The sequence below is a fragment of the Homo sapiens genome, chromosome 12, assembly GCF_000001405.40.
Source record: "Homo sapiens chromosome 12, GRCh38.p14 Primary Assembly".
In the NCBI taxonomy this organism is placed as follows: domain Eukaryota; kingdom Metazoa; phylum Chordata; class Mammalia; order Primates; family Hominidae; genus Homo; species Homo sapiens.
In genome coordinates, this window is record NC_000012.12 from 78,353,458 (window position 1) to 78,362,167 (window position 8,710).

Below are 8,710 nucleotides of genomic sequence, written 5' to 3' on the forward strand. Positions count from 1 at the left end.
TTTGAAATTTTGTAAGTGCAGCATAAAATCAAAGAAGGAAGTTGGTTTTGGGCCTCTATCTTCACCCATTTGCTATGAGGCTTCTGGTCCTGGGGAAGCCTTTTCCCCTAACCATTGAAGAGTTCAAGTTGTGATTCTCTTCATCTCTTCTCATAGACAAAGCACTTGAGTCACCATATTTTTATCATCTAATTAAGCTCCAGCATAAGATTTTATCGAAATCTCCCTATAATAGTTATTTTTCATCTACATATTTTTGTATTTAGTTTAAATTAATCTTTTCTACAATATCCTGTCTGATCCTGACATTGTACGCAGTGCGCTGGCAAGGTCTTATGTGATTTAATAACATTGCCTGGCTCAGGATGAATTTAGTTCAGTTCTTACAGTTCAAGTTCCATAAGGCATTGTAATAACTTTATAGTATATTGCAAGACTATTAAAATAATCACTCCAGGCTGGGCGCAGTGGCTCATGCCTGTAATCCCAGCACTTTGGGAGGCCGAGGTGGGCGGATCACCTGAGGTTGGGAGTTCGGGACCAGCCTGACCAACATGGAGAAACCCCGTCTCTACTGAAAACACAAAATTAGCCGGGCATGGTGGCGCATGCTTGTAATCCCAGCTACTTGGGAAGGCTGAGGCAGGCGAATCACTTGAACCTGGGAAGCAGAGGTTGCGGTGAACCAAGATCGCGCCTTTGTACTCCAGCCTGGGCAATGAGAGCGAAACTCCGTCTCAAATAATAATAATAATAATAATCAGTCCAAAAATCCAGGCTCTCCAGAGTCCTTCTAATGAAATTGTAATTTATTCATGAGTAGACATAATTTGAAATAATAGATCACATCCTGCATCATCCTGTGTTATTATATTTTGCACATTAATATATATGTCCTTTAACTTACTGTATCTCATAACAATATGAGTTTCAATATCTCATATTGAAACATCACAAATATTTGTTATTAGATTAAATAAATGAACAAATACTTATTAGATCTATTATATTGAGTGATCAAATTTCATTTTATCTATCTGTAAAACATAGAGATTTTCAAAAGCAATTTTATTCACACAATAGACTCTTTTGCATCAAATGGTCAATTAATTTGACTAATCTTTTTTAAATAAAAATATTCTAGTAAATTCAAACAAAATTAATTTGACTGCTTTTTGTCCTGATTGACTGATCGATTAGTCATTTGACCCAAAGTATTCATATTGATTTCTTGTTTAGTTAAAGCCCGTGTCTCCTAGAGTCCCAGTTCTACTAACTTCCATCTAATAAAATCATTTCTTATACTGTCTTAATATATTGAGACTCAAATTATGTAGTAGAAAATAATTTAGTCAATCAGATATCTGTGGCTAAAATATGGTATGCTGAACTTTACATATTCAGAAATTATAGCCTTAACACTTGTAAGACTATTTTAAATAATCACAGAAAATAAAATGTAATATTCTGGATACATAACTAAAATTATACATACAGAAAAATTCAATTTGCCTCTTTATGCACAGTTTAAGTGATTCTTTGCAAATTTATTTGGTTATTTTTAGTATAGCTATAACAAATTTTCAAATAATTGACTCAGGTCTGTCTCTACAATATCCAGAATATCTGACTGCCACTCATTTTCTCCATCTTTTTGATTTATTGACAATTGCCTAGATTAATACCAATATGATTGGAATAATTAACTCTAGGCTTCAATGCCAACTCTATAAATAACTGCATTTTTATATCTCTGATACTTTAGCAAATGGAAATATGGAAAACAGTACATCTGAAGCATAGCAAGACTTTTAAGAAGATTTACCGTAAAAACCTCAAGTTTAAGCTTTGAATATCAGCAAAATTAAGATAAGTTTATAAATGATTAAAAATAATTATAACCATTGCTAGTAAGAAAGAAGTGTTTAGTCAGGAACTAGAGAGGTCTACCCTATCCAATATTGTTTCTACCTATGGAGACTTTATAGGCATACTAACAAAATTCTTGATAAAGGATGTGAATTTTAAAATGCACTATATTTCCATACGAAGATGTCAAAATACCTTCAACGTCTTTTGTGCTTGTTGACAAAAAGAGTGAAATTCTGTAAAATACTTTTAGAGATTTATTCTGAGCCAAATATGAGTGATCATGGCCCGTGACACAGCCCTCAGGAGGTTCTGAGATCATGTGCCCAAGGTGGTTGGAGTACAGCTTGGTTTTATATATTTTAAGGAGGCATGAGACATCAATCAAATACATTTAAGAAATACATTGGTTTGGTTCAGAAAGGTGGGACAAAGCAAAGTGGGGGCTTCCAGACTGTAGATAAATTTAAGCATTTTCTGGTTGACAATTGATTGGGTTTGTCTGAAGACCTGGGATCAATAGAAAGGAAATGTTCAGGCCAGGCACGGTGGCTCACGCCTGTAATCCCAGCACTTTGGGAGGCCGAACCAGGCAGATCACCTGAGGTCAGGAGTTCGAGATCAGCCTGACCAACATAGTTAAACCCCATCTCTACTAAAAATACAAAAATTAGCCTGGCGTGGTGGCGTGCACCTGTAGCCCCAGCTACTTGGGAGGCTGAGATGGGAGAATTGCTTGAACTTGGGATGCAGAGGCTGTAGTAAGCCAAGATCGCACCACTGCACTCCAGCCTGGGTAACAGAGACTCTATCTCAAGGAAATGTTCAGGTTAAGATAAAAGATTGTGGAGACCAAGAGACCAAGGTCCTTTTGAAGTCTTATTGTGGCTGCCCTTAGAGACAACAGATGACAAATGTTTCTTATTTAGATTTTTTTTTTTTTTTGAGACAGAGTCTTGCTCTGTCAATTCTCCTGCCTCAGCCTCCTGAGTAGCTGGGATTACAGGAGTGCACCACTACACCCGGCTAATTTTTCTATTTTTAGTAAAGACGGGGTTTCACCATGTTGGCCAGGCTGGCCTTATGAGCCCCACCCACCTCAGCCTCCCAAAGTGCTGGGATTACAGGACTGAGCCACCACGCCCGGTCCTGTTTAGATCTTTAAAAGGTGCTAGACTTAATCTCTTAGTTAATCTCTTCAGGATTGGGAGGGCCCGGAAGAAAAAGATCGAGCTATGTCAGTAGAGATTCTTTACAGATGCGAGTTCCCCCACAAAGCTCACCTTTGCAGGGCCATTTCAAGATATGGCAGAGAAATGTGTTTTTCCTTGTTATGCCAGAGCCAGATTGGAAAGTAAGTCATGATATACAGGGTTAAATAAAACCCATTCTGATGAGAATTTATGGTTTGTGAGAATTTATGACTTGCCAGACTCCTTAGATAGGAATTTGAGCAATTAAAAAAAAAATCAGAGATTTGTCCTCATGCTGAATCCAATAAATCAGGTACTAAGACTTCAACTTTTCCCTAACATCACTCCAATTTAGATATTGTTCAGAACCAACAATTGACAATAAAAGACTTTAAAATATAAATGAACATTTTCTAAATTAACGGTAGTACAATATCTCAAACTGAGATGAAACATGATCACACTCTACTTTCATTGGGAGTTTATGACTGAAGTTTTTATTTCAAATGTTGAAGCTTACAGCAAATTACATGGTACAGTGACTTACACAAGGAAAGATTCAAGGCACCAAGTATGTTAATGCTACAGGAGAGAAGATTAGAGGAGGAAGCTGAAAAGAATGATTCCTTTATTCTCACAGGAATGAGAAACTCCAGATTGATATAGAAGCCATTTAACATAAATGTAAATTTTATGAGAAAACAGCTGAAATTACAATTTAATATTTATCAAGCTATGTGATAACTTGCTTATTTTGATGCAGTAGAAGAAATCATGAAAACCTGTTCATAGAGTGTTCTATGTTTCCAAAAATTCTATGCTCTTTAATGATGCATAATTAAATAAAAATAACATATAAAATGGGAAAACACTTACACCACGTATAAGAAGTTAATGTTACATAAAGAGCTCAAACTATACGTGTTCTAAAATCCTAAAACATAAACAGAATAAAGCAATTACAATTTGTTGTCATAAACTTGTCCATAATAATATCTAATGATTCTCTGTATTCCTGTGGTTATGTTTCCTTTCTTTGTGCTTTTCTTTATTTGGGTCTTCTGAGTTTTTTTTTTTTTTTTTTTCTTGGTATAACAAAAAGTTTCAGTTTTGTTTATCTTTACCCTCCAAAAAAAAAAAAAAAAAAGCTTTTGTTGTGTCACCTCTCTTCTGTATTTTATAATCTCGATTTCATTTCTTATTGCTCTGATCTTTATTTCTTGCCTTGTACTAATTTGGTTTTGGTTTGTTTTTGCTTTTGTGGTTCCTCGAGTTGCATCATTAGGTTGTTTATTTGAAATATTTCAACTTTGTAATGTAGGCATTTATTGCTATAGAATTCACTCTTAGTACTGATTTTACTTTATCTTTTAGATTTTGGTATGTTGTGTTTTGATTTTGATTTGTTTCAATATTTTAAAATTTCCTTCTTAATTTCTTCATTGACCTATAGGTTATTCAGGAGGATGTTGTTTAATTTCCATGTGTTTTTCTAGTTTATAAGATTCTTCTTATTAATGATTAGTAGTTTTATTTTATATGGTCTGTAAAGACACTGGGTATGATTTCTACATTTTTGAATTTGTTCACCTCTCTGCGTCCCCAGGAACTTACTCATTCTTACATTTGAGCTGTGGGATATTACCGGTAATAATCTTGGTGATATATATTTGTTTTTGATTTTCTGTTCTGGGGAGTGAAGCAAGCTTGCTTCTCCACCACCATTTTGGAAAGGAAGAGCACAAATACCCTTTAGAAAGTATGAGAAATTGTTATAAAGTCTATGCTAAGCAATACTATAATATGATTATTGGATTGGTATTGGGAGATGATTCTCCACAGGTCTGTTTTACTTCTGTACACCTTATGAACAGAAACAGTGATGGTCTTTGTTCTAGATAATATTTTCAAGGATATTTTTATAACAGTCTTGGAAGATAGATATGGTCTTTTGTACTGTTTATAGGGAAAAATGTGTTTCTCCAGGGCAAACGGCAGTTATGCCCATTGCACATTATAAAACAATTAGATTCCTTAAATTCAGTGTTCTTCTCCTGTAACAGAGCCGATGGCATGTGCAGGTGTCATCCACCCCCTTTTCATGTCACCTATGGTATTTGGGGCCTGAGGAACTCATATAAGAAAAATGATACATACTAGCTATTGCTATTTTGTAAGTAATAAACTGTCATTTGTCCCTGACCCAGGAGTCTCATGGTTCTGCCAGCATCCATGGCAGACAACCTGTTAGGTTGCCAATAGGGTAAAACCCAAGTTTTTGACATTTGAAATAGAGACAATAGAATGTGTTTAGAAGGAACAGAAACTTTAGAATCAGACCATTTCACATTCAAATTTGATCTCTGCCTCTATGTGATCATAGATAAGACTAAAAACTTTTCTAAGTCCCAATTTTCTCATCTGCAAAATGGAGGATAATGCCTAACTTTTGATATTTATGAGACTATTAACAGAAAGCACAAGTAACATGCTGACATTTTGCCTGGCACATACAAAAATATAATTAATGCCTATCTTTGTCTTTCCTTCTTTTTTTCTTCCCCAAATCTATGTTAGTAATTCTACTCAGGAATATCAATCAGCAGAAGATTAACTTGCAATTTATAAAAGCAATTATTTTGTATTAGTCTCTTTCTCACCTGACATGATGGTCAGCCAAGATCTGCAGCTGCACTGCCTGGCAGGTGAGACTGTAGCCTGGTCATCTAATCTGTTACGAGCTTTCTAATCATTAATGAATCAAGTCCAGAAATGCTCCTTTATAGTATTAATATCATTGGCAAAAGTGTCTGGAGAGAAATGATCAGGCAGCATCTTAGTAAAGCTACTCTGGCAAGTGGAAGATAGGAAGGAAGAATGTATTTGCTCTTTTCGTTTTCTTTTTTCTATTTTTTCCCACCTCTGCCTAGGGGTTTTCTTATCTTAGGTCTCTGACCTTACTCCAAAATTTATCTGAGACAAATTTCTCAGCAAAACTGTCTGAAGCAATTTTCGCTTTCTCTTCTGTCTCATCATTTTCAAAAGACCTGGATATGGTTCAAATGATTCTTCCATCTGTTTCTTCTAATTCCTTGACCTCAATCCTTTTCCTTAGAGTTATATCTCCCTTGAACACTCATTACTGCCTGGGAGCTGACTCAAGGTTGCTTCCCTCCCTCTGAGTTGGTGATGGTGCTGTGCCAGATTCTCCTGAGAGCAGGGAGCTTGTGTGAGTTCTGTTCTGATATTTTCCAGGCAACCATTTGTGACTCTGTCTGGTCTTAGTCCCAGAATTCCATGTGTTCACAGGCCAGTTTATGTGATTTGCCTTCTAGAACAAGGCTGGGGCATATTATGTTGAGAAAAAAGTGATAACAGAAAAAAAATGTATCAATAGGAAGATAGTCAATTATATAATATGCCCCTAATGCTAGATGTTTGTTGTTGTTTTCTCAGTCTATTGCTATTATAAAGAAAGTATTATAATGAATTCACATTTACATATATCATACTGTATACATGCATGTAAATTAGCAGAATAAATTCTCAGAAGTAGAGACTAATAAATCAACAGTGAAGGCATTTTTATTTTAATGGTCATTCTCAAGTTGCCTCCACAGGGTCTCACTATTTTACACCCAATAGCAACATATTAGAGAAGTTATTTTTTTTCACAAACTTGCCAATAGAGTTGTAAATTTTACGTTCTTGTCATGTATATTATAGGTTAAAAATTATATCTTGGTGTAGTTTTGGGTTTGTTATTCCTTTGTTCTGATCCCAAAATCAGATTTATTTTGAGAGACATTGACTATGCTTTCATATATTTAAGGGACATCTGTTTTTTTTTTTCTTTTAACTTATAAACATCAGGTTCATATTTGTCCATTTTTCTGTTGGGTGCCGGTTTTCTACTACTTAGTTTTAAGGAGCTTCCATATATTCTCTCTGTGATGTACATGATTTGAGAGTTTTGTAATTTGCTTTGGATTATAGTGTTTTAAATAATACAAAAGTTTTGTATGTCTTGTCTATATCTGTTGATGAAGTTGAATTTATAAAACTTTTAATGAATTCTGGATTTGAGGTCATAATTTGAAAGGCCTTCTCTCCTCCAGCACTATAAAGGTATGACCTTGTATTTTCTTCTAGTATTTATATGGTCTTGTTTTCTCCTTCAAACTTAATTACCACCTGTCCTGTTGTCTGTAACAATGTGACAGTCCTGTGCTGACTAAATTTGGGATCTCAGGGAGAAAAGAGTAAATACATAGTATAGAATAAAAATAATAAACATCTGAGTTCATGAATTTATTATTTTCAGTTTTTTCTTTGGTAAAATAAGGCTTCAACATGTTATGAAAATGAAGGATAATTTCTTGTTGAATTTTTGGATAATTTGTGAGAAAGTACAAATATTTTTGGAAGAGTAGATTATATGACTAGTGTCCTTGGTTTCTTCAAGACAGCCTTTTTTTTTTTTTTTTTTGGTGAAAGGCATAGCAGTCTACTTTCAGACAAGAAAAGACTAGAAAATATTAACCCCATCCAGGTATTTTCTCACTTTAGCATAGAAGAGAAAAATTGAGAACATGGGCTTTGCTACCAGGCACCTCTCCCTACTGGCTATGTTACTTTTGGGAAGTCATTTAACTTTCGGCCTCAGTTTCTTTATAGGCAGACTATGGAAAATAATTTTTTCTTCATAAAGTGTAAAGGATTACATTAGATAAAGTGCTAAGCAAAGTGGCTGGCATATGGTGAAATTCAATTAATAACTATTTTCAGTTATCGAAGTTGGATTTTATTTCACGTGATTTCATAATTTTTTTGAAGATTGAAATATGATTAGGAATATAACCATTTATGTTAACCAGAAATAAAGGAAGCATTGAATCATAAGCTAATATGAATTTTAAAATGTGTTGTCTCATTACACTGATTGAAAATAGCAACTTTGGTCTATGAGATGAGGCCTTGGAGATACTCATCTCCAGAGTATCCAGAAAATAACCTTGAAAGAACTCACTGGCTGATGACTATAATTTGGCTAGTCCTACATCTTTCTAGTGGAATCTAGGGTAAAATATACAAATCAAGTGATACATTTTGAAAAAGGCCCTGCTGTGGCAGTATCCTGCATTTTAAGTGTACATCAAAGTTTTCTGGAGACACCTTGAGATGGATGTTCTGTGTATAGTGTCACGTTTTTAGACATGTCCCCAAGGTTTTATTATTCTGTCTCTTCATTCTTGCACTTCAGCAGCTAGAAATGGCTTTGCTGCTTCAAACTCCTGTGATACGTCTTTACTATAAATTTAGATTTTCAATGCCATTGTCATTTGGTGAAGAAATGTGCAAATCAGCATATTCTTTTTGAAGTGCATTTTGGCTAAATTATCTTTACTTAACAAATAGCTCTTAAACAAAAGGCATGCGTAATAATCACATTCCTATTGTTGTTCATGCTACCTTGGCAAAACTACAGGAGACAATGAAAAGCAACGAATTGTTCTAATCTCTGAATAGTAATAAATATTTTATTATTGTGGCTTCTAGAATTTGGCTTTATTCAAACTACTGTTGGAGAGCTAGAGCTATAGAAATGTAAGTGGTATTAATGAAGTAAATATACATTCACAAGTACA

General features: G+C 34.6%; 1 long non-coding RNA gene across 1 annotated transcript in view; it reads right to left on the minus strand.

The window, feature by feature from the left end:
* LINC02424 (long intergenic non-protein coding RNA 2424) overlaps positions 1-6,289 on the minus strand; it is a 33,067-nt gene extending 26,778 nt beyond the window's left edge. Inside the window, exon 1 of the long non-coding RNA NR_135021.1 lies at positions 5,723-6,289. This is a non-coding gene — a long non-coding RNA (long intergenic non-protein coding RNA 2424). The remainder of the gene's footprint in view (positions 1-5,722) is intronic.
* Between the last annotated feature and the right edge of the window lie 2,421 nt (positions 6,290-8,710).